Source organism: Homo sapiens, chromosome 3 (genome assembly GCF_000001405.40).
Source record: "Homo sapiens chromosome 3, GRCh38.p14 Primary Assembly".
NCBI lineage: Eukaryota > Metazoa > Chordata > Mammalia > Primates > Hominidae > Homo > Homo sapiens.
In genome coordinates, this window is record NC_000003.12 from 111,691,161 (window position 1) to 111,712,040 (window position 20,880).

The window sequence follows — 20,880 nt, forward strand, 5'->3', positions numbered from 1 at the left end:
TGATGAGTTAAATTTACAGGCATATTTTCTGTTTAAGTATGGTAAGTGTGAAAGAAAAATGTTATTTCTTTGCAATGATGAATAGTCCTTCATAAATATGGTCACAAATGCCTTTAGTAAGCTGTTAATAAGTGGAATTATCCAATTCTTAAGATAGAAGAGACCCTAAGTCGCATTTCACTCACTTTCCTAAGTTTGCAAATGAAGAAACAGAATTCCAAGTACAAGTTTGGAAGCCCAGGTTCACAGAAGTAATCACAGCAGAACCAGCACTGGGATTCAGGCTCAGCTGTGGAATTACAGACTGTTTCTTCAACTGAGAGAAGGTTAGAGTGCCCTCCTGTGTCCCTATGTAGAAATTCTTTAGGTCTTTACAAAATTTAAAATAGCTTTAATCTCTTCATCAATTTTCCTGCACTGGCAGGGACCAGGCATTTAGGTCCAAAGACAAACTCTGCAATCACCATGTTATTGAAAGTAAATGAACAATGCACTTGACTTGTTTAATCAATAAGGACATAGAACCAATACTATCATCCCCAGAGTATCTTTGTGTGCACTGAGGTCTGACAGACCTGGGTCTATGTCCCGGGCAGCCACATGCAATCTTTGCAACCCTGAACTAGTTGCAAAACCAGTCTGAGCCTCAGTTTCCTCATCTGTAAAATGCAGGTAATCACTGCCCTGCAGGATTGTAGCACAGGTCAAATGAGATCATGTAAGTAAAATGCCCAGCCTGGCATTAGGTACATAATAAGCACTCAATAGATTGAAGTTGTTTCAGTTATTTTCAGGCAAGAGCCCCCACCAGGGTTATAAAAAAGTTAATGTTAAAAGAGCTGAGGTAAAAACACTGGGGAGATAAACTGAATGTCTTCAGGTTCCTTTTTTATTTTTTTGAGACGGAGTCTGGCTCTGTCGCCCATGCTGGAGTGCAGTGGCGCGATCTCGGCTCACTGCAAGCTCCGCCTCCCGGGTTCATGCCGTTCTCCAGCTTCAGCCGCCCGAGTAGCTGGGACTGCAGGCACCCACCACCACGCCCGGCTAATTTCTTTTTGTATTTTTGTAGAGACGGGGTTTCACCGTGTTAGCCAGGATGGTCTCGATCTCCTGACCTTGTGATCCGCCCGCCTCGGCCTCCCAAAGTGCTGGGATTACAGGCGTGAGCCACCGCCCGGCCAGGATGCTTTTAGTTATTAGGTGAAAAGGTTTCCATGAGTTCCAGGGGCAGAGGAAAGGGGGAGAGAATTTTTAAAGAGATATGTACTGAATATGTGATTCCTGAAAAATGAATTTCTTCTTCAGATGGGGAAATTTAAATGAACCTAAGCCACATGGCTTGACCACAGATAGAAGCTCTCTCTCAAAGGTAACACCTGGCAGTAAGGGTCCAGCAATATTTTTTTAAAAGCCTCTATATGAAAGAAAATATTTGAAAACCAGATTCTATTTATGTCATTGACCCAGTTTTAGAAGTCTTTATTTATTGAGAGGGTAACCAAATTAAAATCAATTAACAACAGAGGTGAAAAACAATAGCTGGATGAATTCATCCTTTGATGTTAACTTCCTTCAACTCTTCATGAAACGAGCTATCTCAGCTAAAGTGTTCAGCAAAATTGCAGTAAATCAAGTCCTTTTGCCAGGTGAACTTTCAAAGGTTCCCTCCCCCTCTGACCTTAGGTAATTTTCAGTTATCCTTTCCCTACGTGTGGAAGGGAGATATCATTATTTATGATACAAGGAGACTTGACCTTTAAATGTCAGTGGAAGTGTAGAGTCTGGCCATTCTGTCTGTATCTTCCACCAGCTTATAGGAGAATTAAGGGAAATAGTTCAATAACGTGCAAATGGGAAAGAGGGAGGGGTAGAAGGAACACATCATCTATGCCACCATTTTTTGTTATATAACCAGGGAAAAGCAAAGGGAGAATTGGGCTGGCCTCTGTTATCTAAATACTTATTCTAGATAAGACAATCACCAGGAGGTTTATATAGATTATTGTACTGCAAAAGCTCATAAAAGGCTGCTCAGAGTTTGTGAGGCTTACCCCTGAGCCCCAGGGGCTTGCTTACCCTTTCCAGTAATCTGTTACCTTTAAATAAGGCAAATGCAGCACAAGGCTGAGGCATTTATTATTTATAGAAAGTTCCTCATCAGACTCATCTGTGGCTACGGAGGAGCAGAGTCGGAACCTCTGAGCCTCCGCAGTGACGACCTGCTGCATTCTACACTAGTGCAGTGCTATTCTGAGCAACGTGAAGCTTAAGCTAGACTCTTTGTGGTTGTACATTTTTAGTCAACTAATGAAAAGATTTCCCTGCCTCATCCTTGCAAGTCACCTATTTGTGTGGATTATCTGAACACTACATTTTCTGGCTATTGTAGTTACTTCAATAGTATCTGTGAAATGCTGTATTCCTGGTGTTCATCTCATTTTCTACTTCATGCTTTTGTGACTTTATACATCATTCTCCTTCGAATGCCCCCAGATCGATATATCTTGCTTCTCGATGTTTATGTTGCTAGCGCTTTGGGTAGGGTTTTAATTCCAGTATACCAAGAAAAACATTTGTTCATAAAGGGGTCTTTTTTAAGATGTTCATCTCAATCAGAGAGAAAGCTTTCTCTTGTACTTTCCCACCTCCTTCACCCCTTTGTGTGGTATTATCCCACTCCCCAGCTAGGTCTACACCTGCTTGGGGACTGTGATCCAGGCACCAGGTGAGATGAAGCCAGGAGGCAAGGTCCACAGAGCAGAGCCCCTTGAGGGATGGGGCATCAAAATGGCTAGACTGAGACACGTGTGCTTCAGACAGCTTAATAATAGGCTACCCCTTCAAGCTGTCGCTTTAAAAATATTTACACCTCATTTGGTAAAAGTTGTAGAAGTGAAAGTATACTGCAGCTTTGAAAATTTTCTATTAGGTTTGCCTCCTTTCCTGAGTCTTTCTTCTGAGCCCTGCAGCCCCCTCTGATCCCTCTCCTTTTCCCCTTTGATTCTCACCCTCCTCAGCCTTCACTCCCAGCTTCTCAACCTCTCTCTGTTTCCTCAGCAGATCCACTGAGGTCTTTCCAAGAGTCTATCTCTAAATTGGCATACCCCTACCCACTGCTTAATACTGCTTCAAGTATGTCAAAAGCTATTAATGCCAGAGATGAATATTGCAGTTGGTGCTCAGCAAACAGAAGATACTCCAGCTACCAGTATTCACTGTGCTTAGAGGAGAGTGGTGATTAAAAATGACTTTTTCTCTTATCGCATGTTCATTTTCAAGATAAAGAGTTTACTATGTGCATTGAAGAGAGCTTTTTTTTTTTTTAACATCTTGCCCATTTCATAAGGAGTCACTGGTGAAAACCTGCAGCAACTGGCACCAAATTTGCAGTTTTTCCAAGCAATATCTTAACATCCTTTGTAGACTAGTCCCTTTAGTCACTGCTCTGTGGCCATGCCCCTCAACATGGCTGTACCTGGAAGCTCATAGTCCTGGCAGAGCTGGCTGCTGTTGTGAGTCAGGAAGATGTTCCACAGGGAAGTGAGCTGGTGACAGCCTCCATGGGAAGTCAGAGCTGGACCCTAAGGGATCCGGAGTCCAGCTAGGCCGGTGCTCTCTGAAGGGCCAGAGAGGTGTTCTGGCATATCCTCATCACTGTCAAAGTCTGAGAGTGGACATTCATGCTGAAGGAGGAGCAGCTCCTAAATGGCTCTTCTTCCAGAAACTTGGCCTGCTGATTTTGCCTGTATTGCCTGTATGCATATTGAGACATATGTTGTCAGCCATTTGTAAAATGAAGTAGTGGTTTCTCTAAACCTCAGGAATATATTCAGAGTTTTTAATCAGGGTGAACTTGAGTGGGAATGTTTTGACTGCCTTCGTTTTAGTACATTTGAAAAAAATGTTGAATTTCTTAAAAATCATAAGTCATTAAAATCCAAGCACTTTTAGTGAGATAATGTGTTTGAGGGCCTAAATCTCATTTTTTTACCCATTTTCTAAAAAAAAAAAAAAAAAAAAATCTTGTTGAAACATTTTTAATAGAAATTCTATGAAGATAGGGTCTTCTGGCTCTCCATAAATCAAATCATAAAATCTTCTTACAGTAGTCTCTTTTTATCTGCAAGTGGTATGTTCCAAGGCTCCCAATGGCTGCTGAAACCATGGATAGAGCCAAACCCTATACATCCTGTAATTTTTCCTGTACATACATGCCTATGATAAAGTTTAATTTATCAATTGGGCACAGTAAGAGATTAACAACAATAACTAGTAATACAATAGAACAATTATAACAATATGCCAGCATCACTGCTGTCGCACTTTGGGGTCATTCTCAAGTAGAGTTAGGGTTCCTGGAAAACCAACACTGTGAAACTGCAACAGGCATGCTTGGCCATGCTTATGTCTCTAAGAACTCATCATTAGTATTTTCAGTTTGTAGAAAACATACAGAAAAACTTCTGAAAACATTACTGGTTCTGCTGTTTACATTAGGGAAAGATTATCTGTTGATGGTTATATTGGTGTTTGAGTGTTTTAATGATAACTGAGATGGCTAAGTGACTAATGGTTGGGGAACCTCTACCAAGTAGATATGCTAGGCAAAGGGATGATTCACATCCTGGGCTGGAAGGCCTGTGGGATGGCAAAACACTTCATCACGCTCCTCAGAATGGGGCACAATTTAAAACTTATGAATTGTTTATTTTTTAAATTTTCCATTTAATAGTTTTGGACCACAGTTGACTGTGGCTAACTGAAACTGTGGAAATTGAAACTGCAAATAAGAAGGGACTACTATTTTTTCTCAGAAAAATTCAACTCTTTAAAATTGGTTAACAACTCATGAGGTTGACATCTCTGAAACCCTCAAAGATGGCAGTGATGAGGGAGGAGGAGCTATTGTTTAGCTGGACATCTCTGATTCAATTCCATTGGAGGGGGGCATCTGTTCTCATTTTCGTCCTTCAGAGATGGGAAAAAATTACTCTTTTTCTTGGCTTGAACACTTATATCTTCTATCTTTTTATAAGCATGATACTGCTTTCTCTTCTGCTGTTTGCACAGATTGTCTTCTGACCTAGTTGAGCCTTTACTGCTGCCCAGACACCTTCTGGTAGCTAGCATCATATGAATTACTTAGCTTTATTAAGATAAAGTGTGAGCAAAGGGTTTTTTTTGGTCTTTTGTGTTTGGGCACCTTTAATATCTTTTTGCTGTTGCTGGGCAGGGAAGAGTCTTTGCAGCTGAGATCTTATTAATTTGCCTAGAATTTTTTTTAGTTTATATATTTTTTATTAATTAGGAAAACTAAATTTGACATTCAATGCAATTTTATGCAGCATCAGCTATAGTGGGTAACTGGAAAGATAGCCGCACCTGGTTTTTTTGCAAGCTGCCTGCATTACTCTGACCTCACTTGACAAAGTATAGGCTAATAGAGAAAGAATATGCAAATTACAGACATGTGACCTAAAATTCAGACTGAGATAAAATAGACAAGCTTTAATTGAACACTCTGACTATTCGTTATAGAAAATACATGCATATCCAATATATGTTTTTAGCCCAAGCTTACGATGGACCGACCAGATGATCTTAGTTTTGATAGAAATAATATGATTTAGGTCTTGATAAAAATTTGGAGCTTACATGGCATTTAGATGACTCTCAAAAATGAGCTCAAAATAATATTTGTCTTTAAAAGAATTTTTAGAGAATAATTATTATCTATTAGAAGTTTTCTATTGATATTAGTAAACATATTTCCAAATAAATGAAAGGTGGGCTTTTTTTCCACTGAATAAGAGAATTTTCTGGATTTCATTTAAGATGGGCCAGTTTTAGTGCCAACATGTACACATAGACATGCACATAAATACTTTGGTAACCGAGAAGACCTTAGCTCCAAACACGTCTGTAGATATTCCATCCAAACTCTTGCTATCCAAACATTTGCTATAACTTATAAGATTTATTTTATCCAGAATTCACTACTTAAATAAAAAAATCCCATCGTGTGAGCTAGCAAAAACATTTAAGTTGCAGGTACACCTTGTCAAAAAGATGGAGAATGTGTTACATCCATAGTTCAGCTACCCTCCCAGCAGGCTCGAGCTGTGCATTAGCGCTCTCAACTTACCACATTATTGAGTGAGAATGTCTTCTAAGAAAGCAAAAAGCCTCTGAATAAAACAAGCACACTCGAGAGGCCTAAAAAGAAAAATTGGGTGATAAAGCATATTGAGAGAGATGAACTAACATAAACTTGGCCATACTTACATCTCTAAGAACTATGCATTAATATTTTTAATTTGTAGAAAAAAATACAGAAAAACTTCTGAAAATATTACTGGTTCTGCTGTTTATATTAGGGAAAGATTATCTGTGGATGATTACATTGGTGTTTGAGTGTTTTAATGATATTTGGTATTTGAGAAAACTGATAGGGTTTTTTTGATGGGTTGGGAAGACATTACTGTTTTTTCCATTTCAAATAATGGATTATATAGGCTTCTACTCTCAAAAAATCTGTCATTCAACATCTTTTTGGCAACAGGTTGGATTTGTTTTTCCATAAAAATCACTTGATGACATCTAATTTTATGTTGTTAAAAATAAAAAGTTTAAGAACATCCTCAGAATTTTCTGTCTTATACTTGCAAATTGTGTAGTCACTGTATTTATTTCCAAGTACTGACATAGGAGCAGACTAGAGATATTAATAATTTATAATTTTAGTTTTAGTGCCAATTTGAATTTCAACTGTAGAATACTATGATCCAAACTTACTCCTTTTGATGTTGATTTTGGGTGTAACCTAAAATAAATGACTTAAACTACAGACTTCATTTTTCCTAGCCCTAAATGTTAATTGCCATGACAGATCCTCAAATATAAATATTTACTGAGGTTTCATGGCTTTATTTAAAAACCAGAATTATTTGTTTCTCAGATAGTATCATCCAAATAAAAGATGACACAAATTTCTTAATAATTAATAATAATAACATGTTTGAGCTCATTCTATTAGCCAAGGACTCTTCTGGGTGTTTGCCTGAGTTAACTCATTTAGTCTTCACAACAGACCAATGAAGTTAGTACTGCTGTTGTCCACATTGTGCAGATGAGGAAACTGAGGCCCAGCATTTTATTCACATAACTAGTAGGCAGTAGAGCCAGGATTATGAACTCAGGCAGCCTGACAACAGACTCTGTGCCCCTATCCACTGCGGGGACACTCCATTTAGCTTATTCAGAGCTATGGTAATTCACTAAGTTAGGTGTTAGGACTCACCATTTGTGAAGTTCTTTCTTAACTAGTATCTTACAAAGTGCAAGTCTGAGTCCTTTGGGACTGTGTAGACAGAAAAATGATTTGTTGGTAGTCCTGGAAATTGCAAGTGAGAATACTTAAAAAGATTACTGGAAAAGAAGAAATTCAGTGGTTCCCAACCCATTAGTGTTCTAGAGACAGGGGATGGGAATAGAACCTTCCAGTACTGGGTCACCTTATGGATGGGAGGGAAACATTGCTGGAGGCATTGAGAGGCAGGCCAATTAAGGATAAAAAGAGACAGTGTCAGAGGTTCAGCCCAGACAAGCCAGGAACCTCAGTCTAGGGTGGTGGTCTGTCTCAGCCTTTTGTTCATAATCACTCCCTGAAGGAGTCTTATTAGGCATTTCTATTCCTTATTTCCCCCCCTCCTCCCCTGTGAAATTATAACACTCAGATGTATCTGTACTTTGTACATAGAAGAATAAGATTTTTCACTCCCTAAGAACAAATTTTTGCAATGTCAGTGCCTAAAGGCACAGATACACTGAATGGTGTCAATACACATGGGGTGGGGAGAGTGGGATCAGTGAAGCACCTGCAGGAACTAATGGGCTTCAAAGTTAGAAGGACTTAGAGACAGGAGGACCTAAGGGAGGTGAAGACAGGAGGTTTTCTTAAATATGTGAAGTCAGGAGTTCTTTGACTTAGGGTCACCATCCTCACCTACCCAGATGGGGAGTTTCTCTCTATCTTCTTATAAGCTTCACTTAACTCTTGTCTCAATCTTCCCTCCATGGCTACAAGTGTGGTCATCATGTAATCTGAAATGCCATTGTACTGTAATGAAATGTATCATTTCATAGTGTGTGTTTTGAATTCTTTTTGTTTTATTTATAAACCAGGTTCCCAAGAAGCCTGCTTTAAATTCTTTTTATTTGAGCTCAGAAAATGGCAGCTACTCCAATTTGCAAGAAATGGGTAATGAAAGTGCTTTAAAAACTAGAATGCACTCATTTGAGATCTCTAATCCCCAAATGGCAACCCTCAGGAAGAATCAAGCAGTAATTTGTGTTCCAGATAAAGAGCAAACTGATTGTGCCTGGTCTTCACAAGGCCAGCTAGCTCATTTTCTCATACCTTACCTCTCAAATAATCTAACACTACCTAGGAGGCAATAACTATAACACTGAGTAAAAATCTTGCTAACCTTTTCGCATTCAAATCTCTCTCTTCCCGTGTGACTTTGCTGCCACAGGGACTTGATTCTGAGCTCTGTAACCTAGCGCACATCCCAAGGATCCTAGTAAACCTTAAGTAACCTAATCTAATCACATACTAGGAGGCATGATAAGGAAACCAAGGCCTCCCAATATTTTTCTTCTTCACAAACAAGCTGTGGTTATTTAATTGGTTAAAGGGCAGGGTGTATCTTAGAACAAAAGGAGTGATGAAGAAAGCATCTACCAATACATGGGAAAGGCACTTCACCAGATTATTATTTGAAGGTTTGAAAGTACTAGAAGTCCAGCCAGAGAAGACCATGCCCAGAAATCAGAGAACTTTTGGGAAACTATAATCTTACATTTGTGGCTGTAAGTATCAAGCCTGGGTATACATTAGAATCAGCAAGAAGCTTGTCAGCTTCCGTCCCAGAGAGATTTTGACTTAGAAGGTTTGGGGTGAGCTCATGGGCACTGGTGTTTTTTAAAAGCGCCCCCTGCTCTGCCACCTCCCAGTGATTCTGATATGCATCTAAGGTTGAGGATCACCACTTTACATTATAAAGTGCTTTCACATACATGATTCAGGATTTTTGTATGCACACAGAAAGGAAAAAGAAACACCGTTAATGACTGTTGACTGTAAAAGAAAATAGGAAGAAACAGGGGTAGTAATTGTGAAAATGAAAGGATTAGAGAAAAGTCAATTTCTAGAAACTGGAGGAAAAAAACTTCACCTTTCTAAGGGCTAAAATTAGTCCTATGCATATAGAACATTAAGGAGGGACTTGTATGTCCATATTTACTGCTATATATGGAATAGTTTTTAGATGACCATAAAATTCTCAGCACAGAGAAGTCTGAAAACAGTCATTTAGTATTTGATGCCAATTACTTCCTAAGATCATATTGCTTCTCCTCTATAAATGAAATATATTGGAGAAGAGGAAAAAAAAAATTTGTTGTTAGTAAAAAGGTGTGTTAGAAAATGTCATATTAATATTCGTATGTGTATTTCAGGACTGTATAGACAGACAATATACCTCAGCAGGCTCTTAACAGCTTTCAGATAGTTATAATTAATAATTCTGCAGGTGAAAACTGGCAAGTGGATGATCTTGGATATAACTGAAGGATGAAGTAAAGCCAATGCTGTGGGCTCTCAGACTGTGTAGGGCGGGGCGGGGGGTCAGGGGCAGAATATAAAAGTCAGGTTGCAGCGTGGCAGAAGTAAAGAAACTTGTGATCAAAAAGTCAGAAATTAAATTTTAAGATTTTCAATGTGGGTGATGACAAACTTAGACTGTGACCAAAACAGTGGTGGTGGCTATAGTCAACAGAGTGGAGGCTAAGTTTTCATCTCCATGTCAGCTAATAAGATAGAGAGGAACAATGAATCAGGTACAGAAAATAAAATCTTCTAGACCATCAGTATTTAAGGCAAGAAGCTTCAGTTAATCAGCCCTTCACACTCTGATTTCTGACTAATTAAAAATGGCTAATAATAGCAATAATTACAGTTCAGCACTTACTAAGTGTCAGTATTGTTCAAAGCACTTTGCTTACATTTCAATATTCACAATAATTTTGTGACAATAGGTACTATTGGCCCATTTGACAGATGAGGAAACTGAGACATGGAAAAAGCAACTTACTCAATATGGGTTACAAATGCTGGGGAGAAAATATAGACATATTTGGGGTGAGAAAATATTTTACAGAGTATCAGCAAAAGTGAACAGAGTCCAGAAAGGGGCCTGCCTATCTGTGTATGTTGCATACCAACAGTTTCCAGGCTATAAGTAGGGGCCTGGTAAGAGATGAGTCTGAAATAATGCATTGGTACCATATTGAAGACAATTCTAAACCCCCAGTGTTGAGTTTGAGCTTTATTTGGAAGGCGGGAAGTGGGAGGAATGTGTCATAATCAAAGCTGTATCTTAAGAAAACTACCTTTTAAGTATGAACAAATTAGAGTGAAAGGACCCAAATTAGGGTTTCTGTTTGTTTGGGTGGTTTTTGGTACTATTTGACAGGCAATGAGTCTATCAATGAGAACAGTGGCAGTTGAAGGTTAATGAAAGAGACAGGTTTGATGTATGTTACAAAGGTCAAATGTAAGGTTTTGGTAACTGGTTAAATGAAGACGGTGAGAGAGAGGGAAGAGTTTAAATAGAATCCAAGATTTCAAGTCTGAGTGACTGGGTGACTACTGGCAGAAATTCAGGAGAGGCACTTTGTGGGGATGAGAGGGCCAGCAGGAGAAGCTAGACTTTGAAAATACGCACTTTGTTGTGTGAGCAGGCCATTGGAGGCAGGCCATAGCAGGAAGGTGGGAATGTAAGTTTGCAACTTACAAGAGTCTGGGCTAGAAAGGAAGCTTTTGGTGTCATCTGCATAATGATACTGTGGTAAACTGGGGAGTGGGACTGAAGTCTCTGAAGGTGGACAGAGGAAGTGAATACAGAACAGATCCCTGGAAAACATTTAAATTTAGGGACAATAAAGACGAGTCAAAAAAGCAGACAGAAGGTAAAGGAAGGATGGGAACACCCAGAAATGTGCAGAAATATACACTGAGCACAAGGGAATGGAAGGTTCCACAAACAAACTGACTTGGCAAACCCACATAGAAACCAAGAAGAATATGGCCATTTGAATTAGAGTAGCAACAGAAGGAGAGAAAGTGGACTCAGATGGAAAGAAGTATGTCATAGCAGACAAAGGCGGCAGGACTGGCCTACACTTTCAAGAATTTGATAGCAAGGAGGAAAGAGAAGACAATCGTGTGTGGAGTAAGGCATGTAAGGAAAAGTACTTTGTTTTGTTTTAAGACAAAGGGGTACCACTTAAATATATTTTAGACAGAGATAAAGAAGCCATAGAGAGAGGTGAGTGAAGATGCATAGGTAATACCAGGTAGTAGCAGCAAAGATGATTTTAGCAGCAGAAATTACAGTGGGATGAGGTCCTAAGCTGTTTGCTGACCTTATCATAAAATAAACTGCTATCCCTACCAATTCCCAAGCAGCAATTCTCTTAGAGAATAAGGCAAGGATCAGTGGTGCAGGGTATTTTCCTCCTCTTCTGAAGAAATGCTCGAATTTTATTCATACATTCCAGGACAGAAGGGAAGAATCACTGTCTTTAAAGAATAAAATAATTTCCATGAGTTGTAGGGGAGTAATAAGGGAACAAACTTTGATAGTGAATTTGAATTATAAAATATTAGGATTTTCTATTTGTAAGTACTATTTGCAGATTACATGGTTTATAAATATTGTATGTGCAGGAATGGGGGGACATTGTTAGCCTGTTTTTCGAAAAAGAAATAATTTAATGCACTTAGGCAGTTAAATGTTGTTTCACCCACTCCATATGACATGAAAGCTTTCTGGAAAAGAAATAAGTAGGACAGGAAAAATATTGATAGTGGTTAATAAGTGAGAGTTGGCTTTGACTGCTATAGGCCTATATAGGGCAAGTGCTATAAAACATTCAGCAATCTGCTTCATTGTTCTGTCCTGTCCTGTCCTGTAAAGGGGGTTGGAGGGATGCAGGGATGGTGCTGGGCACAGGATGTCAGAAAGCCTAAGGTGGGGCTGGGGAAATGAAAAGAGAACAAAGAGGTAAAAAGAGACTCTGTTCCTAGGAAATATACATGCTCTCCCTCTTCTGTGGGATGGGCTGGGTACCTTGTATGTCCCTCTATATTCAAAATGATCCCTGGGGTCCCATTGCTGTCACATTTCTGCACAGTCCTCAGACACAGAGAAAAGTGTTGGAGGTTGTTAGCACATCTCCCTCTGGAGATGAAACTGGGCTCAACACCAACAAGAGAACACCAGAGGGGATTCATCTCTCCTCCACGCTTGGATAATGGCTATTCCCTAATGCCCAGGGAAGAATTAAGTTCAGTATGTGCCTTGCACTATATTACACACTCAATCCTGAACAGCTGGGCTGTTAATGAAATTTAAAAAGAAGAGAGAACTCACTATTCACCATCTATATCTAATGTATTCATAATAAATCTCTCAATGAGGAGGTATAAAAATTTCCTGTTGCTATACAGCCAAAGGAAGCAGAGCAGTAGGCAGGTATCCAGGGAGCCTCGTTAACAGAGATAACCAATGTGGAAAATCCAGGGGGACTTGTTCCACATTTCTATTAGTAATGGCAATTTTTCTTACCTGAAATATGCTGGTAATTTTCTCACTTGCAAAATTCAATTTGCCTAAGGATGAATAAATAGGTCTTTTCTTAATACTTACTGGATAGCCTCTATGTTCCAGATGCTACATAAAAGTAAAGCATTATTTGATGGGTTTTTTTTTCCTTTTTCACTTTATTTCTTAGGAAACAAAACACTGAGTCATCACAGAATGATTTGTTTTCAAGAAAATTGAAATAATATAAAATGGTAGTGTGGTAAAATTTTGTATTATATGTGAAATACCTACGCTAAAATTTATAAAAATGGAAAATGGATGACAGTGAACTAGTATGAATACAGGAATTCTGATGGTAATATTGCGGGGGGTAGTGGTTAAGAACAAGGTTAGTAGTGCCAAAGCAAAGGCATTTTCCTTCTAGATTTTACTTGCAAAGTGAAGCCAGCTGTGTGGAGTCCCTCACCTCAGAGCCAGTCACAGCAGTAACCAAATTAGCTTCCGTATGAGTTAGTGGATAATAGACATAAGAATGGTTGACCCTGGATAGAACCAATAACCAAAATGAAAGATATTTGCTAAAGATGATTTTCATCTAGAAATAGCTACTATTGAAATATTTTCTCACTGTAATTAGGAATATGCCTATGGTGGTCACTCATACTTCATAAAAAGATAATCTCTGTCTAGGGGGATTCATGCTTTCTTCCTCACACCCCCTGCCCTTTTATTTTTAGTTGACAGTAATAATTGCACATATTTATGGGATACAGAGTGATATTTCAATACGTGTATACAATGTATAATGATCAAATCAGTGTAATTGGTATAACCATCACCTCAAACATTTATCATTTCCTTGTGTTGTGAACAGTCAAAATCCTCTCTTCTAGCTCTTTGAAAGTATACAATAAATTATAGTCAATCATATTCATCCTACAGTGCTGCAAAACACCAGACTTCATTCCTCCTATCTAGCATAATTTTTTTTTTTTTTTGAGACAGAGTCTAGCCATCTCCCAGGCTGGAGTGCAGTGGCACCATCTCAGCTCACTGCAACCTCTGCCTCCTGGGTTCAAGTAATGCTCACGCCTCAGCCTCCCAAGTAGCTGGGACCACAGGCATGCACCACCACACCTGGCTAATTTTTCTATTTTTTTAAGGTAGAGACAGGGTTTCATCATATTGGCCAGGCTGGTCTCAAACTCCTGACCTGAAGTGATCTGCCCGCCTCGGCCTCCCAAAGTACTGGGATTACAGGCATGAGCCACCACGCCTGGTCCTAGCATAATTTTGTATCTGCTAACCAGCCTCTCTATCCTACCTGCTCTGCCACCCTTCCAGTCTCTAATACCCACAGTTCTACTCTCTATTTCTGTGAACTCCAAAAGTTTTTTGAGTTCCCACATATGAGTGACAATATGTAATATTTATCTTTCTGTGCCTGACTTATTTTGCTGAACATAACGTCCCCAGGCTTATTCGTGTTGCTGTGAATGGCAGGATATCATTCTTTTTTATGGATGAATAGTATTCCAGTATGTGTTTATACCACATTTTTTATCCATTCGTTGGTTGATGAATATTTAGGTTGATTTCATATCTTCACTATTGTGAATAGTGCTGCAGTAAACATGGGGGTGCAGGTATCCTTTTGATATATAGATTTTCTTTCCTTTGGTTAAATACCTATTAATGGGGTTGCTGGATTGTGTAGTAGTTCTACATTTAGTTTTTTCAGCACCCCCCATACTGTCTTCCATAATGACTGTACTACTTGACATTTCCAACAACAGTTACATACATCTCTACAGCTTCACCAGCATTTGTTATTTTTTGTCTTTTTTGTTTTTATAATTGCTGTTGTAACTGGGCAGGGATGATACCTCATTGTGGTTTTGATTTGCATTTCCTTGATGATTAGCGACATGGAGCATTGCTTCCTATGTTTGTTTACTATTTATATGGTTTTGTTGTTGTTCGTTTGTTTGCTTGAGACCAGGAGGTTGAGGCTGAAGTGAATGACAAACATCTTAAAAAGACAGGGTCTTACTCTGACCCAGGCTGGAGTGCCGTGGTACGATGTTTGTCATTCACTTCAGCCTCAACTTCCTGATCTCAAGCAATCCTCCCACCTCAGCCTCCTGAGTAGCTGGGACTGCAGGTGTGCACCACCACTCCTGGCTACTTTTTTTGTATTTTTTGTAGAGATAGGGTTTCACACATGTTGCCTAGGCTGGTCTCAAACTTCTGGACTCAAGCGATCCACCAGTCTCAGCCTCCTGAAGTATTGGGATCACACTCATGAGCTACCATGCCCATCTGTGTGTCTTCTTTCTGAGAAATGTCTATTTAATTCTTTTGTCCTCTTTTTAATTTGATTATTTAGTTTTTTTGCTATTGAGTTGTTTGAATTCCTTGTATATTCTGGATATTAGTCCTTTGTAAGATGAATAGTTTGTAAATATTTTCTCCCATTCTACAGGTTGTCTTTTCGCTCTTGATTGTTTCCTTTGCTAGGGTGGAGACGTCAGTTTAATATAGTCCCATTTGTCTATTTTAGTTTTTGTTGCCTATGTGTTTGAAGTCTTAGCTGTGAAACCTTTGCCTAGACCAATGTCTTGAAGCATTTCTTCTATGTTTGCTTATAGTAAAGTTAAACAATAAAAGAAGAAGAAAGGTACAAAGAATATACAAAGTAATTAGAAAATAATTAACAAAATGACAAGGACTAAGTCCTCATCTATCAATAATAGCCTTAAATGTAAATGTTAAATTCCCCAATTAAAAGATATGGACTGGCTGAATGGATTAAAAAAAAAAAAGACACAACTATATACTGCCCACAGAAAACTCACTTCACCTGTAAAGGCACACGTAGACTGAAAGTAAGGGATGGAAAAAAATATTCCACACAAACGGAAACCAAAAGTGTGCAAATTAGCTATACTTATATCAGACAAAATAGACTTTAAGGCAAAAAAAAAAAAAAACACAAAGAGAAAGAAGGTCATTATATAAAGATAAAGTGATCAGTTCAGCAAGAGGATATAACAATTGTAAATATATTTATACACCTAACACCAGAGCACCTAGATTTATGAGGCAAATATTATTAGAGTTAAATAGGTAGACTCCAATAGAATAATAGTTGCAGACTTCTTCAGCATTGGACAGATGGATTATCTAGAAAGAAAATCAACAAAGAAACATCAGACTTAATCTGCACTATAGACCAAACAGGCATAACAGACATTTACAAAACATTTCATACTATCCCTTTGTTAAGACAGAGGAACAGAATGTGCGTTTGGACCATTTAATAGCAGTTTTGGCTCATTGAGGTACGAATTCAAAAAGAGGGACATATTAACTAAACTGTGTTGAGCCCATCGAAATGGTTAGCTGATCTGTCAATAAATCATTCCTACTGACTCAGACTTTTACAATAGTAAAATAATATATACAATTTTTTATATATTTTAAAAACATAAAAAGAAAGCAAGTTTAGTTTCTTGAAATCCTGCCTTTCCTAGAATTTAAATCCCTTTCTCGGCATTGTTGAGATAGACACAGTGTTTTCATACCCTCTGTTTCAATGATGGCATGAATAAAGTGGATATACCACAACAAAGCATTCTTCTATAAGAGACACTTAAGCATTATCTCCAGTTTGTCTCTATTATGAATATTCTTTGGCAGACATCTTTGTTTTCCTGAATGTTAGAGTTTATTTCCTCAGAATAGCTTTCCTGAAATGAAATTACTGGAGCAAATTGTATGAATATTTTAAAGCCCCTATTTTCAGCATATTTCTAAATAGCTTTGCAAAAGGATATTTATTAATTTGCCTTATGCCAGCAAAATATATGAAAACTATAGTATTACCCCAGGCTTAACAAGCTGCTACATTACTTTTCTTTGTGTTTATTTTATTCCTAGCAAGCTTGGCAAATTTTGCTACTATTCATTTGCAGTTTTAGTATGTTATTTGGTGCTTAATTTTTGTTTTGTTTTGTTTTCTCATCAATTGGCTTATTTTTCCCAGCTCCCGTCTCATCTGCTTTCCTCACCTGTATTCCTTTGTACAGGCTCACATGATTCATTCAGCTACTGGGTGGATGAAAAGTCCCCAGTGGGGCCTGACCAAACCCAAGCTATCAAACGCCTCGCCAGGATCTCCTTGGTGAAGAAGCTAATGAAGAAGTGGTCTGTGACTCAGAACCTGACATTTCGAGAACAGCTGGAAGCTGGGATCCGCTACTTTGACCTGCGTGTGTCTTCCAAACCAGGGGATGCCGACCAGGAGATCTACTTCATCCATGGGCTTTTTGGCATCAAGGTCTGGGATGGGCTGATGGAAATTGACTCGTTTCTTACACAGCACCCCCAGGAGATTATCTTCCTGGATTTCAACCACTTCTATGCCATGGATGAGACCCATCACAAATGCCTGGTTCTGCGGATCCAGGAGGCCTTTGGAAACAAGCTGTGCCCAGCCTGCAGTGTGGAAAGTTTGACGCTGCGAACTCTGTGGGAGAAGAACTGCCAGGTAGGAGGGAAGGAGAGATAAGCTTCCAAGAGCAAGAATTTAACTCTTCCTGCTTTTCCTGTATTGCCGTCTGTAAAATCACTCAATCCAGGGCTCTTAGGCTAAAGAGTGGATTGTTTGGAATATTAAACATATGCAAACTAGTTCCTGGGCTCTAGAATAGGTTCAAGGGCCAGGGCTAACACCTGCCAAATACTTAAAGCTTGTCCAGCAAACTGTTTGACATCTAATTGACTTTTAGTGGCCTGGCCAGAACCAACCAAGGCAAAGTTGTAAAATTGGGCCAATAGGTCATTACTATTCTCTGTTTCCCGAGGTCCATTTTTACCCTTCTGGTTCCCCTCAGGGATAGTCTGTTCCATCTTGCCTTCAACTCAATGTCAGATAATCCTGGCCAAGGTATCGACTGATTAGGAAAAGTATTAGCTGACTGAAACATAGTGATTCATCTCAGGAGTGTTAATATTATAAAAGTATTTGGGTCTTAGAGGGAGAGAGAGTTAAGGAAGGAAGAGCCTGTTGAAGGGGCTGCAGCCTGTAAGAGCATTCCATAGTCTGCTTAAGTTGAGAAGAGCCTGCCAGCCTAGGACCATGAGGGACACGCTCAGGAAGAGGAATGTGGGCCTCAGATATATTCCACTCTGATCCTAAAGGATGACAGTAGGAGAAAAGAGCTTCAGGAAAGTGTTTAATTTACACTCTCTGGAAAAAAAAAAAAAAAAGACATACCTTTCATTCAAAGTTACTCACTTGCTCAGCAGATGCATTAACCAAAACAACTTTACGAGGCAGATATTTTTTAACTCAAGGAGGAGCTTTTGATTAAAAATAGTTTAAAGGTTATTCACTTGAAAATATTTATTAAACACCAGGTACATGCCAAGTAACCTCTAAGGACTAGGGATAAATTAGTAAATAAAATAGACAAAGATACCTTGCCCTAATGGAGCTGTCATTCTGGTGGAGGGAGATAGATCATAGATAATAGAGATAATAAACATACATATATGTGTGTGTATGTGTCTGTGTGTCACATATATACATATATGTATATTCTCTCTCCATATATGTGTGTGTATATACACACACACACACACGCACACACACACATAAAGTGTTAGAAAGTGATAAGAGCTATGGAAAACGAAAAGGTCAAGCATGGTGAGAGGGAACCAGGATTCTGTGGGTTGGAGGATTGGTTGAAATGTTTAAAAGTTGATCAGGAGAGGCTTCATTGAAAAGATGACATTTGAAGGGGTTAATCACATGCTTATTTGGGGGCAGAAGAAGCAGGCAGTGCAGAGACCCAAAAGCAGGAGTGTCCCTGCCATCTTTGAGGAAAAGGAACATGCAGTATGGCTGTAGAGCAGGTGAAGACAGAGTAGTGAGAGGAGGTCAGAGAGGCGACTGGTGATCATGTGAGCCTAGAAGGCCCTGTAAAGACGCTAGCCTTCACTCACTCTAAGCGAGGAGAGTTCTGGCACAGGATGTTGTGGCCTGACTTAGGTCTTAATAAGATCTCTCCGGTTGCAATACTAGGAAGAGACCAGGGCAGGGGGATTGGGCAGAAGTAAGGAACCCAGTGAGACTGTTAGTGGCAAGTGGTCAGATTTTGCATCTGTCAGAAGGTAGAGCCGACAGGGTTTCCTAATGGATATGATTTGGGGTATGAAAGAACATGAGGATTCAAGGATGAGTCCCAGGCTTGGCCGGAATAACTGGAAATACCAAGTTGTTTTTGCGCACCCTGAGAAGTTCTAAATGTCTTCGACACCACGGAGGCTTCATGAGTTAACTCTTAGTATCTGCTAAAGTCTATCTAAACAAGTTTCTTCACTAAGACTTTTGTAAGTGATATTTTGCTAAATATTTATCACACCTCTATACCATAAAAGTAAGTTTATATCTGTTCATGTCTAACTTGGAGAGACTTTTTCCCAGTGGCATTTCTCTTTTACAATATGAGATAATGGTAACAACAACTAATGTTTATTGAACCTTTACAATGAGCTACGTACATGGATTAACTCATTTGATCCTCTCAGTGACACCATGAGATGGGTACTTTGTTATTGTCACCATTTTACAGATGAGGAAACTGAGGTATGGAGACACTAAGCAACTCACCCGAGAGAAACCTGGGCAAATTTTAAAATCCTAGTTAGTGAGAACCAGGATTCAGTCGCAGGCTTTCTGGCTTTCCAGAGTTCTTACAGCTTCTCATGCTCTCTGAGGGGTATTTAGGCACATTGGTGTTTTTCACAACTGGTGTTGTATATTAGGCTAATGAAATACTTTGCTTTTATTAATGAGCCCCTATTATCAGAAGATCTCAGAGAATTAGCAGAATGGGAGAAAGGGATGGAGAGCTTTGGAATTTGGGGATTCGGTTAAATTTGAGTACAGATATAATTTTATACACAGCCAGGATTGAGATGGGTTGACATATTGCATACTAAACTGCTTACAAATCTGCAGGAGTAAGGGGTATCTTCAGGAATAAAGAATAGTGTAGGCAGTGAATTTCTAACAGTAGAGTGATGATCTATCATAGTTTTTTAAGCATGGGCTAATTTAACTGTATTATCCAACTACAAATACTTCTAAAGTTATGAAGGAAAGAGACTGTGATGATATCTCAGAAAAAGGGAGAGCATCATCAGTTTAAATCCTAAGATCCCCCTGTGCTCCCTTCTTTCCCATGTTTTTCCTGCCACATTTCTTCTTGAAAGCTAAACAGGCTGGGTGCGGTGGTTCATGCCTGTAATCCCAGCACTTTGGGAGGCCGAGGCTGATCATCTGAGATCAGGAGTTCAAAAGCAGCCTGGCCAACGTGGTGAAACCCCATCTCTACTAAAAATACAAAAATTAGCTGGGCATGGTGGCACACGCCTGTAATCCCAGCTACTCGGCAGGCAGAGACAAGAGAATCGCTTGAACCCAGGAGGCAGAGGTTTCAGGGAGCTGAGATCGTGCCATTGCCCTCCAGCCTGGCTGACCAGAGTGAAACTCCGTCTCAAAAAAATAAATAAATAAAATAAAATAAAGCTAAACAAAGAGATTTCAAACAGAGGCACCAGTCATCCCTGCTACTGCCAGGGCAGAGTTAAACTTTAAATATTTTTCATGTAATGAGCTGCCTCACATGTAAGCCCCTGCGTATTTTATTACTACAATTTAGTTGAAAGAAGTATGCTACCATTCAGTCAAATTTCATTTACTTAACATGCAATTACATCATAGCCATAGGTATATATTTATTTGTACATTAGTGGCTATGGGTTTTGAGGGTACAATGAGTTAGAGATTTAATCTACATCTTGGAAGTATTTAGGATCTTAATAAAATGGTAAGAGTACATAACACTAGGGAATACGAAACAACTGATAGACAATTGCATGATAAAAGTGCCTCAAATGTTCTGTACTATATGAAGAAGGGGATTTTGTAATAAATCAGTTGAAAAGTAGAACGTAGCATTAAGTCTATATCCCAGAGGCTCCAAGTAAAAGAATGACCAGAATAAGAGGAGGTCCATCAAGGAATCGTTCTTGAAGGAAATGAGACTTTTAATCTGAGTCTCAAGAGAAAAACTGAACATGAACCACTGAGATAGAGAGGAGAGTATTTCAGAGAAAAACACAGCAGACAGAG

General features: G+C 39.1%; 1 protein-coding gene across 1 annotated transcript in view; it reads left to right on the forward strand.

The window, feature by feature from the left end:
* The window catches only part of PLCXD2 (phosphatidylinositol specific phospholipase C X domain containing 2), a 52,332-nt gene that overhangs the window by 16,485 nt on the left and 14,967 nt on the right, over nucleotides 1-20,880 (forward strand). The window contains exon 2 of the mRNA NM_001413064.1: nucleotides 16,766-17,226. Coding sequence (NP_001399993.1) covers nucleotides 16,766-17,226 — 461 coding nt within the window. The remainder of the gene's footprint in view (nucleotides 1-16,765; nucleotides 17,227-20,880) is intronic.